A 14,770-nucleotide genomic window follows, 5' to 3' on the forward strand; every position below is an offset into this window, starting at 1 on the left:
ATGCCAAAAAAGAAGCTATAATGTACTTCCTTTAAGTTGAAAGGTGAAAGTTCTTGACTTAATAAGCAAAGAATAAAAGACCATATGCTAAGGTCACTAAGCTCTATAGTAATAATGAATCTTCTATCTATGAAATTGTGAACAATATATTGTTATAAGTGTTCTATTTTATTATTAATTGTTATCTCTTACTGAGCCAGTTTATAAATTAAACTTTGTCATAGGTATGTATATATAGAAAAAACATAGTTTATATAGGGTTTAGGATTCAGTATTATTTCTGGTTGCAAGCATCCACTAGGGGTCTTGGGACATATCCCCCCCAGGGAAAGGAGGGGACTACTGTAACTATTTTGTTTTCAAAGAAGCATTCTCAGTTAAGCCTGATGTCGTTTTGTTTTTTTGTTTGTTTGTTTACATTCATCTGTCTTAAACTGTATTTATTGCAGAGGGGATGGAATGGGTGATATACTTTCTAGATTCAAACTTAGGGATTTGATCCATATGTACAGTCAAACCTGCTTATAAATAAGATTGACGAACAGCTCAGGGGTGACTGTTGCAAAGAATATTATCTCATTACAGTGAGATGACCCATTTTATAGTGACATAGTGTATGTATATTTCCCTAGGAACACCAGTTGATCAGGTTACCCCGTAGACATTGCCTGTTCTCACCCCCATGCTTCCAGCCTGCCTGCTATGGAACAAAATAGGACTGACACAACCTGAACATGGCATGAAAGGTCATAGCCTGCATTATATACACAGTAACACTGCATAGCCTTGGAACCAGCTCATATACCATAGTTTCTCAATCATCATTGGCAGCAGTAGCAAATGCATGCCCTTTGTAGCTGGTTATTTAATAGAAGTGGTAAAACTGGGAGTGTACTTGTTGTTCTTAAAAGGTCAAATGAATTAGAAAACAAACGCTGAGCCTTTTATACGGCAGCATACATTTTTACGACTTAAGCAAAAAACTGGGAAACTGAATAAAATATACTGAACCATACAAGTAGAGTTCTAACAAACCTTGAACCTACTCGGCCGCCCTCTGTGAAGCAATCCCTGACAAGTGTTTAAGATGCAGTGAAATGATTTCTCACAAAATAAGTAGAAAATGTATCCTGGATTTTGTGGTTGCAAATGTCTAACACTTAGCTTGACCGTAAAAGACAGGGCAATCAACCTCAAGCACTGCATAAACCAGGGGTCTCATCTTAATCCCCTCATTAGAAATATGAAAAACTGATGAGCAAAGGGGTTATTCAGTACAAAGTCACCAAATTCATGAGCTGCAGAGCTGGAACTAACACCCAAGTCAACTAACTTCTACTCTAGGCATACCCAAGATGTCTTTCAAATTTTGGAACAAGGAAATGGTCATTTGTTTAATTTTTGTACCATGGCTTTTTATTTTGATTAGGAAAAGTCAATTAAAATCTTCTCAATTTCCAAATGCAACATTTCTGTTGTCTGAAGGATTCTGTTATCTTAATTAAGCCCAAAAAACTAAAGAGCTAATAGACAAAGGGTCTAGCCCCATCTCCCACTCTGAAGTAGTTAGGTAAATGGGGTTGAGATAGATATACCTAAATTTCCTACTGACTTGTGATTCTTTAATCTATGCTAAAGTATCCACTCAAAATTCATTTGATATTTTCTTTTTTTCTTTCTATTTTTTTCTTTTTTTTTTTTTTTTGGAGATGGAGTCTCACTCTGTCACCTAGGCTGGAGTGCAGTGGTGCAATCTCGGCTCACTACAACCTCCGCCTCCTGAGTTCAAGTGATTCTCCTGCCTCAGCCTCCCAAGTGGCTGGGATTACAGGTGCCTGCCTCCATGCCCGGCTAATTTTTGTATTTTTAGTAGAGACGGGGTTTTGCCATGCTGGCCAGGCTGGTCTTGAACTCCTGGCCTCAGGTGATCCACCTGCCTTGGCCCCCCAAAGTGCTGGGATTACAGGTGTGAGCCATTGTGCCTGGCCTTGATATTTTCTAATAATTAACTACGATGTAATGATTTTCTTTCAGAAGTATTCAATACTTATATTTGATTAGTGTACTTTGACTCCAAAGCATTCTTATGTATTAAAAACCAAATACTGATGTGAAAAATGGAAAAATAGCGCTTACATAACAGGGTTCAAGATAGTATCTATAGACAGCTAAAATAAGATCATGGTAAATAAACTACCACTAATCAAAGAACGTTATTATTATAATGAACACTCTTATGCAACTCTAGAGGAAATTAGAAGTGGCTATGATAGCTTTAAATTGAAAAGTATTTGTATCTTCATAACATTACCTTAAAATAATCATCTGACAATTGTTTCTATTTTCTTAAAACCATGCTATCTGCTGACACTAGAATTGAAAGGAACACTAGAAGCCATGTATTTCCAGGGAATCCCTAACTTTATCAGAACACTTTCTTCCTGTTAAGGAAAAAGGTAAATGTCTGCTATACATGGCTTTGAATTTATTTAGTTGAGACAGACTCTCTGTAGCCTCTTATCTTTCCACCCTCAATAATGCCTCAGTCAATCCTAAATAACACTCTTAATGAAACCACTGACCTAGTTCAACTCTCTTATTTTGTAGATGAGGAAGTTCAAGCCCAATGTTATCAAAGATGGTGAATTAGTGTTAGAAAAAGAATTCCAATGTGCAGTAAAGGATTAACCTTGTGTAAAAAGAGGTATGGCCTTTGCCTTGGCTCCCGGGAACTAACCACAAATCCCTTGGAATATCACTTGTCCAATGAAAGTGTATTTGTGTCTTTGTGGGCTTTGGGACATGCATAGAGTCAATGCTAATAATGCAATTTAAGTGGGGGATGTTGGGCTTGGGACATATATCAGTTCAATCACTGGATGGGCTGGCAGCTAAGCTTGGTTACGTGGGTGGTACCTATATGTAACTGATTAAGCTCCAGTAACAATTCTGGACACCAAAGCTGGGGTGAGCATCTCTCATTGGCAATACTTCATGCATATTTCCACATGTTGTTGCTGGAAGCAATAGGGGCCATCCATAGGACTCCGCAGGAAGAGGACAACTGGAAGTTTATATCTGGTGACTCCTGGATATATCCCTTCCCTTAGCTGACTTTAGTCTGTGTCCTTTCAGTGTAATACATTGTAACCATGAGTAGAATGGCTTTTCTAAGTTCTGTGAGTCCTTCTAGCCAATTATTGAACCTAAGGGTGGGGACTCTTGAACACTGTAGGAAATCACTATCTCGACTTCCTTGGTGCATTTCTCTTTTTCTAATACCATGTGAATAACCCATACAAACCATTTTCAATGTGGCCCAGTAAAGAATAGTCACTATACATAAATACCCCCCCAAAAATAAGATTCAAAGTATAATCTATACCCTTATTATTTTAGTATTATATAGATGAGGGACCATAAGTATAATCTAAGAAGTAAAAGTTTTTCTATTAACAATAAGGTCCACATGAATAAACTGGGATTTTTGAAACACATTTAATTTTACTAAGCATTTTTTGTCTATTTATTTCATTTATTTTACTCACAGCTCTGTATAGTAGGAAACTATTATGGCCATTTGTATTGTGAGACCTAAAATTTTAACTGCTGCCTTCACATGTTTGAGCCCCACAGGGACCCAAAAGCTTGGGTGTTTTCCCACCTCTCACCAGGTATGCCCCAACCTAGTGGGAAAGTCTTCCTGCTCAGTTAGTTCCTTTATCAGCTGGGGCAGCTGCACCCTATATGGTGCTCAATTGTTCCTCAGCAACCTAATAGGTTTCACCTACCTACCATGGTATTCAAAGAAGCCAATCACATCCTCCCATGAGAACCAAAGGGTATCCCATCCTTTGCTACCGCAAAGCCTGCTTCCCACAGCCCCTTCTGATTCATGCTACTCCTGAGCATAACTTCCATGTACCCTGCATGGCATGCAGTGTGCTCCTCCACTGAGCTGTAAGTATCTGTGACCAAAAAACTGCTCCAGTCTCATCTGTCCAGTGTCGGGTATCATATATTTGGCTATATTGTATTATTTAGGGCATGCGACTCCTCCTTCACCATTACAATGAACAGGAGGTGATCAGAACACCATTGTGCAAATGAACTGAGCCCATCTTTTATGTCATGCACATGTATAACAAGACTTTCTAATCACATAGTTAGTTCATCATAAACATTTCTCTGTCTGCTGCATTCAGGCTGCCTTTTCAACTGTATGGCACCCAAGATGGAACAGTGCTGAGAGTTCAGTGTTAGAAAGAATAAATAAGGAGATATTTTTCTGGGGCCAGCACCAAAGCTAAAGTTTCACGTGAGAACAATAGCTTCAGTTTTCTTTTCTTTTTTTTTTTTTTTCAGGCCAAAAAAATTACACAGACTTTCTTGGCAATCTGATAGCAACAGGCTAGGAAAATAGATTAATTTCAATCAATACCAGTGTTTTTAAGAAACTGGGCTTTAAGGAAAGGGGAATCATTTCTTTTAGGTCATTTAGCCTGTTTCAATTTCATGGCCACAGCTTACACCCATGAATGTAGCTTTGTAGCTACAATGGTGTTCAAAATGGGGGCACTGAGTAAACAAGCCCAGCTGCACGGTGTAGTCTTAAGGCAGGCAGAGGGTGGGGATCTGTTAAACTTTTCTTGGTCGCTCTGTTTTTGTAGGGAAAACCAAACCGAAGGGATTTTTCCATTCTCTTACTCAACTACAATCAACATAGAAGATTTCTGTGATCTCTGGTCATTAGGAAGTGTGAGGCTGTAACCCCACTGATAACCAACGAACCAATTGTGCAGCTGGGTGTCCTCTAATTCAACTTCAACACCATCTATTTGGAGATAGCTTCAGACCACAGAAGTTGAGGGCTCATTCCCACAACACTGCTCCCCACTTCCAATACCAAACACAAGCCCCAATGTTTTACCTGCATTTCTGCCCAACTGGCAATAAATTGGAGTTCCCATAACCCCCTCCTTGGGTTTAATTAATGTCTTGGACTCACAGAACACAAGGAAACATTTGTTTACACTTATGAGTTTATTGTAAAGGATATTACAAAGGATACATATGAAGAGATGCATCGGGCAAGGCATGTGGGAACGGGCACAGAGCTTTCATGCTCTCCAAGGCCATGCCACTTTTTAGGAACCTTCACCTATTTGGCTATCTAGAAGCTCTCTGAACACTGTCTTTTTGGGTGTTTATGGAATCTTCATCACTTAGGCATGATTAATGAAATCATTGGTCATTGGTGATTAACCTAATCCTTTGTCCCTCTCCCCTCCCCTGAGATTGGGAGGTGGAGTTGAAAGTCCCAACTCTCCCATCATGCCTTGGTCTTTCTGGTGACCAGCCCCCACCCTGAAGCTAGCAAGGGGCTGCCAGCCACCAGTCAACTCATCAGCATACCAAAAAAATTACTCTGAAGTCCAAAGATTTTTGGAATTGTATTTAAAGAGACTGAATGAAGACCAAATACATATTTCACAATTACCCCAGACACTAATTTCTAGGATTTCATTATAGCGTACAGTGAACCCAATGGAACTGTTTTGGGAAATACTTACACAGCATCTTTAAAAAGATAAAGGTACTTGCTCAATGTTGTGAAGCTTCCTTTTAAAGGTAGTGGTGAGAGGTGACAGTGTGCTGGCAGCCCTTGCTCGCTCTCGGCGCCTCCTCGGCCTCGGCACCCACTCTAGCCGTGCTTGAGGAGCCCTTCAGCCCGCCACTGCACTATGGGAGCCCCTCTCTGGGCTGGTCGAGGTCGGAGCCAGCTCCCTCTGCTCGCAGGGATGTGTGGAGGGACAGGCGCTGGCAGGAACCGGGGCTGTGCACCACGTTCGCGGGCCAGCGTGAGTTCTGGGTGGGCATGGGCTCAGCGGTCCTGCACTCGGGGTGGCCAGCTGGTGCCACCAGCCCCGGGCAGTGAGGGGCTTAGCACCCGGGCCAGCAGCTGCAGAGGGTGTGCCGGGTGCCCCAGCAGTGCTGGTCTGCGGGCGCTGCGCTCGAATTCTTGCTCGGTCTCAGCTGCCTCCCCACGGGGCAGGGCTCAGGACCTGCAGCCTGCCATGCCCGAGACTCCCCCCGCTGCCCTGGGCTCCTGCGCGGCCAGAGTCTCCCCAAGGAGCGCCGCCCCCTGCTTCACGGAGCCTGGTCCCATCAACCGCCGAAGGGCTGAGGAGTGCTGGTGCAAGGCAGAGGACTGGCAAGCAGCTCCACCTGCTGCCCCAGTGCAGGATCCACTAGGTGAAGCCAGCTGGGCTCCAGAGTCTAGCGGGGACTTGGAGAACCTTTATGTCTAGCTAAGGGATTGTAGATACACCAATCAGCACTCTGTGTCTAACTCAAGGTTTGTGAATGCACCAATCAGCACTCTGTGTCTAGCTCAAGGTTTGTAAATGCACCAATCAGCGCTCTGTATCTAGCTAATCTGTGGGGACTTGGAGAACTTTTGTGTCTAGCTGAGGGATTGTAAACACACCAATCAGCACCCTGTCAAAATGGACCAATCAGCTCTTTGTAAAACAGACCAATCAGCTCTCTGTTAAACGGACCGATCAGCAGGATGTGGGTAGGGCCAGATAAGGGAATAAAAGGAGGCTGCCCAAGCCAGCAGTGGCAACCAGCTGGGGTGCCCTTCCACGGTCTGGAGGTTTTGTTCTTTTGTTCTTTTGTTCTTTGCAGTAAATCTTGCTGCTGCTCACTCTTTGGGTCCGCACTACTCTTATGAGCGGTAATACTCACCGGGAAGGTTTGCAGCTTCACTCTTGAGGCCAGCGAGACCACTAACCCAACTAGGAGAAATAACGCCAGACGCGCCACCTTAAGAGCTGTGACACTCATCATGTAGGTCTGTAGCTTTGCTCCTGAAGCCAACAAGACCACGAACCCACCAGAAGGAAGAAACTCCGAAGATGTCCGAACATCAGAAGGAGCAAACTCCGGACACATCACTTTTGAGAACTGTAACACTCACCACGAGGGGCCGCGGCTTTCTTGAAGTCAGTGAGACCAAGACCCCACCAATTCCGGACACAGTGGGACATTAAAAATTGAGATTCTATTCTTTATTTATTTTTGATTATAAATTGGCAATTTATAATTGTATCAATTTATGGGAAACAAAGTGTTATTATGATTTATGAATATAATGTATAATTAAATCAAGCTGTTTAACTTTTTTGTGGTGAAAACATTTGAAATTTACTCTTAGCAATTTAGAAATATACAATGCCCTATTATTAACTATATCTACTATATTATAAAATAGAACTAAAAAAATATATTCCACCTGTCTAATTGAGATTTGGTACCCTTTGCCCATCATCGCCCCATTCATCCCACCCTCAGCCTCTTTAGCCACCATTCTGTTTTGTGTTTCTATGAGTTCTATTTTGAGAATTGCAGGGCACTGAAAATAGAGTGGGCTTTCCATTCAGGCAACTCAAAGGTAATATTTATTTCTGCCTCTGTATAGTTTTGCATCTTTAGGCAAGGTTCTCTGCTCCTTTAATTTCTTCATCTGAAAATTGAGAATAATTATTTGGAAAACAAATATAATAGATATAACATTTTTATTATATCTAGGCACTTATTTCAAAACCTCTGCATTTGTAAGGATACAGTTAAATTTTCTGAGAAATAAAATGATCTAAAGATGTATGTTACAAGTACAAAATTATAGAAGAGTCATGTGTGGCATTTAAAAAGACAACTGAGGGAATTTGCTTTGAATAAGAAAAAATAGAAATTTTTTTGTGTATTTTTTAACCATACTTGCCTGTAAGCAGAAGGGTGTTAAAATCCTAAAAGTTGATTATTTTGCTTCTGAAAATGTTGTCAGTACCATCTCTTAATTTTGTTTGAAATAATTTACTTATTCAAATTTTCCTGGGCTTTATCTCATACAGTGTATGGTAAAGTAATGTAACTCTAGGCTTATTTCTTGACAGTCATCTGCAGAGGCTGAGGGAATCTGCAGTGAGTTAGTGTTAGAGCACAGGCACATGGGCACTGGAGGGATTTTGAAACAGCCTTTTCAAAGCAGAACCTATCTGGTGAAACAAGGATGTCTAATATAAAGCAGAAGCATGCCTTCTAGAGAAAGGACATTTTATGCCGAATTTATGCTGTATCGAATTTTGCAGAGTAAATGGAGAAGTGTGAGAGTTTGAATTTCCCTTTATTGCTCCAGTCAGCAAAGACCAAAAACCCAAATCCAAGCCTTTATCAGATTATCTCCCTACAAATCCCTGACATAAGGTAAACATGGCCACATTTTTCCTGTCCTAATTCAATATTGACATGCAGCCTCACAACTGATATAATGGTTGTCTTTTTCCCAAATTTCACACACAAAAACGTGAGTCTTGAAAAAATGAACGTTTTGTGCAAATATATTTCAAAAGAGACGAATAAATATTTGAGTTGTTTTGGCAGACAATCTGGGGAGATTAAACTTTTATTTTGCTTTATGCATAATCCCATTTTGGTCTATGGACAGGGAAGCATGGAATCACCAGAGGTGACGTTGGTTTGGGCACAGTGTAGACTGAACATAGAGGTACAAATAATTTTATTTTTCAGTTTTCAAAGTGTAGATATGACTGAAAATCCAAAAGTTTTGCTACAAACTGTTTCCTTTAAAATTTCAAACCCTAAAGAAGTTAAGTTCTTCTATGTTTGAGTGATTTGCCTACAAACAACTAAAAATGTTGTTTTGAAAATTGCTTAATGACTTAGGCACATTTCTAACTTTTTCGTTAATCTGTATGACTATTTTCCGTGTATAAATACTCATAAGAAAAACTTTTTACTAAATGTCTGCGTGCTTTAGGACACGTAATGTGTTTTTCTTTTTCTTTAAATGGTAAAAAACAGCAAAGCAAATTATAAAAACATTAAATACCACAATGTTTATGCCAGTGTAAAAGAACGCTCTTATCTTCACCAGTACCCCAAGTCTTTCTCCCAGAGACAGTCTCAACAGAAAGTTCCTTGAATATTCTGTCAAAAATGTGCATGTGCTTGTAAGCATCTATATTTGTGTACTTTTCATCTTCAAAAATTACAGCATATTCTGTTGAGTTTTTTTCACTAACAATTTGACAGATATAAACACCAATTTTTTAGAGACATACACCAACAAACACTTCTAACACTTCCAACAGCAACTCAAAAATTTTTTTTTAAAATTTGAAACATTTTTATATTTGTTGATTTGATTTTTAAAATATTTAAAAAGTCATATTAATGTAATTATAAGTGAAAGTTGCAGTCATCCTATAGGCTTATAAACTACTTAGATTTACCTGTTATTTTCTATTGGCTTGATGGTGTTTTACGAGGTTATGTGTTCTTAAGATATTAAAATAATAAAATGCCAGCCATATATAATGCATTTTCAAATATTGTGTGGTTTTTATTACAAGATTGTTAAATTATTGATATTCATAATTTATATACTTTTATTTATACAAATATATCAATCTTTTCCCTATGTGTCTGTATTCTGTGTCTTGGTGATCTACATCCTGACAATTATACAATGTCCATTTTCTCTCCACCAATAACTCTCCTTAGAGGTCAGAATGACATAACTAGCCAACAGTTCAATTTTATAGGTCTTGCATATTTCATACATAACCAAAACTAACTTACTATCTTTTTTCTTATCATCTTTTCTCATGCATTTTCTCTTTTCTACTGGACATCACCTCACTAGACCCCACTCCAGTACATCTGTTCTGACTGGTCAGTGTCCACACACCAGATGTTACATGTTTTGATTATCACTGCTGTTTACATTCATGCACACATGTGAAAGATTGCCTTGGCCAATGGAATGTGGGTAGATGCAGCCTCACCTTGTATGCAAGCAGAAACTCTAAAGACAATCACATGTTTCTGCCAGGTTTCATGCTTCTGTCTGACCTTGTTTCTGTAGAAGGGATATGGAGGAAGAGCTGTGGAGAAGAATACAGCTGCAAATCAGCAGAAAAGGATTTCAGTATTTCAACAATCATTTAAGTTACATCAGTGGGGACTGCATGACTATTTGTCTTGTAAGTGTATGTGAACACAACCAGCTCATATAGTTCACTGCCTGCTGAAAGGGAGACCTCAGATTCAGAACCTATCTAGACTGAAATATTTCACCTTCAATTGACCCCTCTTCATTTAGCTTCTATCTGCATTGGCAGCACCATCATCTATCCAGCCTTAACTCTTTAGATTCAGTAACTTGCCCCATCCAACTGATGAACAAGATGATCTCCTAAACAGTTTTCCAACCAACCCATCTCTCATTGCCCTGGAGCTTGGTTTAATTCTCATTATAACTACACTTCTGCAAGGGCCCCTGAATAGCTCTTCCTGCCTCCCTTCTATAGCAGCTAAAGTAGCTTTTCTAGAAGAACAATATGTTGACATCACTTTCCTTCTTAAGAACTTTCAATAGTTCCTCATGTTTACAGATTTAATGGTTAGATCTCCAGAGTGTCCTATCTCCCCTCCAGAAGCCAGACCCTCTACAGCTCTGGCCTCATTGGCCCCTCCCTCCTGTACATATAACATTCTAGAAAAACTGAAACGTTGGTAATTCCTCTCATATTTATTGTTTCTCTGTACCTTTGATGTTACTCATGCTGCACTCCATTTCTTGAAAGTTATTTTCCTTTCCCTTTCCTCAGGCATTACTAAGAGAAAAGTTTTTTACTCTGTCCCATAGAAAAATAAGTGTCCCTTTCTTTTTACTCCCATAATGCCTTGTGCACAACTCTATTATATTTCATACATTATATTTATTTTTGTGTCTATCTTTTCCTATGACAGTTAGTTCTTTCTCTCTTTTTTTGAGATGGAGTTTCTCTCTTGTTGCCCAGGCTGGAGTGCAATGGCACAATCTCAGCTCAACACAACCTCTGCCTCCCGGGTTCAAGGGATTCTCCTGCCTCAGCCTCCCAAGTAGCTGGGATTACAGGCATTTGCCACCATGTCTGGCCAATTTTGTATTTTTAGTAGAGACCGGGTTGCTCCATGTTGGTCAGGCTGGTCTTGAACTCCCGACCTCAGGTGATCTGCCCACCTCGGCCTCCCAAATAGCTTTTTTTCCATTGATTGTAAAGGCTGGCAAATATATGTAAAGACTGGCAAATATGTGTAAATTTAATTGATTGTAAAGACTTTCCAATATATGATACATAGAGTAAGTTCTAAAATATCAAATAAAAAACATAATGGATGAATGAATAAATAAATGTGTAAATAAATGACAGATAGGATATCATCCTTATTATATTGTATTTCAATTTCTGATTGTTATACCATTTTGCTTTCTATTTTCTAAGCTCTTAGATGGTAGGGATCATGCCTTTCAATGCAGGGTCTAAATCAATGACTCAGAGCAGTAGATACTTAAATGTTTGCTTAAAGACTGGCTGAATGAATGCTGGGAAAGTTAAATGTTAAAAGAAGAGCTGACAAACAAGGGAGTTCATTGTCAAAAATAAGGCTTCAAACAGTAAATTATACAGTTTGGGTAATTCTTAGTGCTATTTTATTTCCTTTATAAATTACAATATTCTTTTTCTTAATGAGCTAAGGGAATAAAGATATTATTCCAGTTGCGCATCAGATATGTAGCATATGTAAGCCAGGAAAACAGAATTCAGCAGCTATTAAAATGTATCGAAGCTTGTGTGTATGTTTCTTAAACAAATAATTAGAATGTAAGGTAAATCTGACACCTTGCTGGTTTATTTTGTGAAAAATATTAAAATTTTCAGCATTTTAAGCAAAACTCTTTATTGCAGTTAAGATTTCATTTCAAACAAAGAGATTTACCTGTTTCTGAACCACTAAAGGCAATTCGTGTCTGTTTCAGCTGGTTTAGGAAAAGGTAGGGCAAATAGCAGAACCCAAGAGATTCATCTTAATTTCCCTGACCGAGTAACATTTAAGGAAGTTATAGGGCATGAAATAAACAAACCTGGAAGATCTTAAGAGGGGAACTATGGTTCCAAATGTGAACAGCCAGGGTAAATTCTGCTATTGGAAAGATACTAGATATAAGCATGTATTTAGAAATACAAGTTGGGATCTGGAGAGAATATCCCCTCCATCCCATTAAGACAGGCCTAGAGGAGGAAAGGCATTTCCTAAAAGAGATATGGCAAAAAGGACCCTGGCGTGATTCTTCTCAGTTAGTAGGTTTTGATGTAAGTTCATTGCTCATATCTAGCATTTGAAGCAACATTGGTTAGTAAATTAAAGAGTGGAGCCTATATAAACATGGAGAAAATTAACATGGCATGTTCCTGAAACAAGCTCTTGGCTAGAATTTAAAATATTGTTTATCATTATCCATTTTATGCAAAAGAAGATGATTCATTGTTAAAGTAAATATTTCTGGGTTATTTAGGTGAATGTATAGCAGTGAGTACAACAGCTAGTGAATACAAGATTCCAGGGATAAAACTGTCTCAAATAGGGAGGGTCATTTCCTCAGTGCAGCCTGAGTTAACAGTCATGTGGAAGAAGGAAAAAATTCTTAGTCAATAAGAGCCCAGGTGGCAGCTAGATAAACAGTGCTTAGTGTCAAATGTAAAAGGCACTTTATAAATTTGTTTACTAATTTACAGGTTTGTGAAGATAATGGTCACCACTTAACCCCAACTCTTAGCATAATACCCGAAACACAGCAAGAATTCAATAGACATCTTTTAGTTGAATAAATTAATAAATACATGAATATATCAGAAAGAATTTTTTTTAAATGCAAATCAAGAGTGGTTATCGGAGGCTTAGAAAACTGAAAGGAGTCCAAGCTAAGAGATTGGTTCAGTACTGAGGTCATGAAGAGATACTGAATCCAGCAGCTCTCCTTTAAGATCAGGTACAATATATGTTGCTGGGTTGATCATTCCCCTTTGAAGTTGCTATATGGAAAAAAATAAAAATAGTTCTAGCCAGTGAAGAAGCATTGACTAAAATAATCAAATACAAACAACAATAGATCTATTTTTGCTTATTTTTTTAACACTATAGATTTAGCATTTGTATTTTGTAATGGTTTTCTAAATGACCCAGTGTTAGACATTGTATCTTTGTAAGCCTACATTTTTTGACAGTGTATTCAATTAATAATACTACCATCAATTTGTGAAATTTGTGTATATTTGAAGCAGTTCTGAAGTTTGCATTAAGATATTTAATTGAATAATGTTGTGACTGTAAGTATTACAAATGTTTCTTATAATCCTTTCTTTCTGTAACTGAGAGGAAAATGTGTTTTACCAAGATGCTTTTAGAATAAACTTTATTTCCTCTTATAAAGAATGAAGAATATTCATTAAGAAAAAGTTGGAAATATAAAACAAAAATAATAATATAATGGAATACTGCATCACATCCTCTTGAACCATCACTGACTGTAGTCATAGCTACAAATGACCATTCCACTTAAGCTCAGACACCTTCTGTTGTCAGCATTATCCTTCCAGCATCCTGATGCATATCTTTGACTTCGGCCCCAGAACTTCTCAAATGTTTCAGGAACCAACTCAGCTCTTGTGTAACCATGGCCTGGAAGCATAGGCAAGTTAACGTCCCTGCAGTCAACCATCAACCAAAGAAAGATGGGAGGCAGTAGATAAATGTTCCAACCTCCAGTCTTTCTGGAAGACGCTCTAAACACTTTTTGGGAGTTTGTAGTGGAATAGAGTACCTGTTGGCCACAGCAACAACACTATAGGCTTTTCTGCCTTTTCCGTCTCATTCTCCCCTTGCTCCTTCTCCTGATTTCACCTCTTAAATAAGCTACCTGATTGCAAGTCCTTTTTCTTAGCCTGTAATTCAGGAGAACCCAAACTAAGACACATAATAACAAGAAATATAGCTATGGTTACAAAACTTAGACATAACCAACCCTAACATTTTGGATGTCATCCTTCCAATTTGACTTCTTTTTTCGAACTCTGTAAGATTATATATTTGGAAATAGTTTGAACATTACCAAATTATGCACAGCAAATGATGAAAATTTCCTTCCACGTGTTCACCAGCCACATTTCCAGCTAACCTCTCTCCATAGCAGTAAGTCATACTAAAGTTTAATATAAATCCTTCTTATTATGCTCTTTTATACATATAAATGTATAAATACAAACAACTGTTCTGTCTTTCTTGGTTACTATTAAGAGCACTTACAACTACATATTTTTCTATATATCTTTGACCAGTTTTAATAAAATACGAAGTTATCATTTTTGTTATTTTATGAATAGTATATAATTGATCATTGATTACCTCTTTGACCCATGATATGTCTTTAGTAATTGAGATTAAATAAATAAATCACTAATGGATGACATACAATTTTTTATTTCAGAAATGTTAAGTGAATCTGAAATCAGCAACCTGTTTTTAAGTGTTCAGGATCTATGCCAATCAGCAATTGTTGTGCAATAGACTCTCTCAAAACACAGAATGAGAACAGTCACTTCAAGCATCTTTGAGTCAGGTGAGTACCAGCTGATCTTGGCTGAAATCAGTGGGCAGTGGGCAGCCTTGCTGTCTGCTTCAAGTTCTGATGGCTGGGATGGTTCTGCTTCCATGTATTTGTCGTCATTCTCTATGGCCTGCCAATGTGAATATTGTTCTATTAGGTGTGCTGCTTTTACCTGAATAGAAAACCGACCAAAATTTTACCTACTGTAGAAGAAAATGCTGAATGATCAAAATGATGTTAATCACTACTGTA

This window comes from Homo sapiens, chromosome 10, assembly GCF_000001405.40.
Source record: "Homo sapiens chromosome 10, GRCh38.p14 Primary Assembly".
In the NCBI taxonomy this organism is placed as follows: Eukaryota; Metazoa; Chordata; class Mammalia; order Primates; family Hominidae; genus Homo; species Homo sapiens.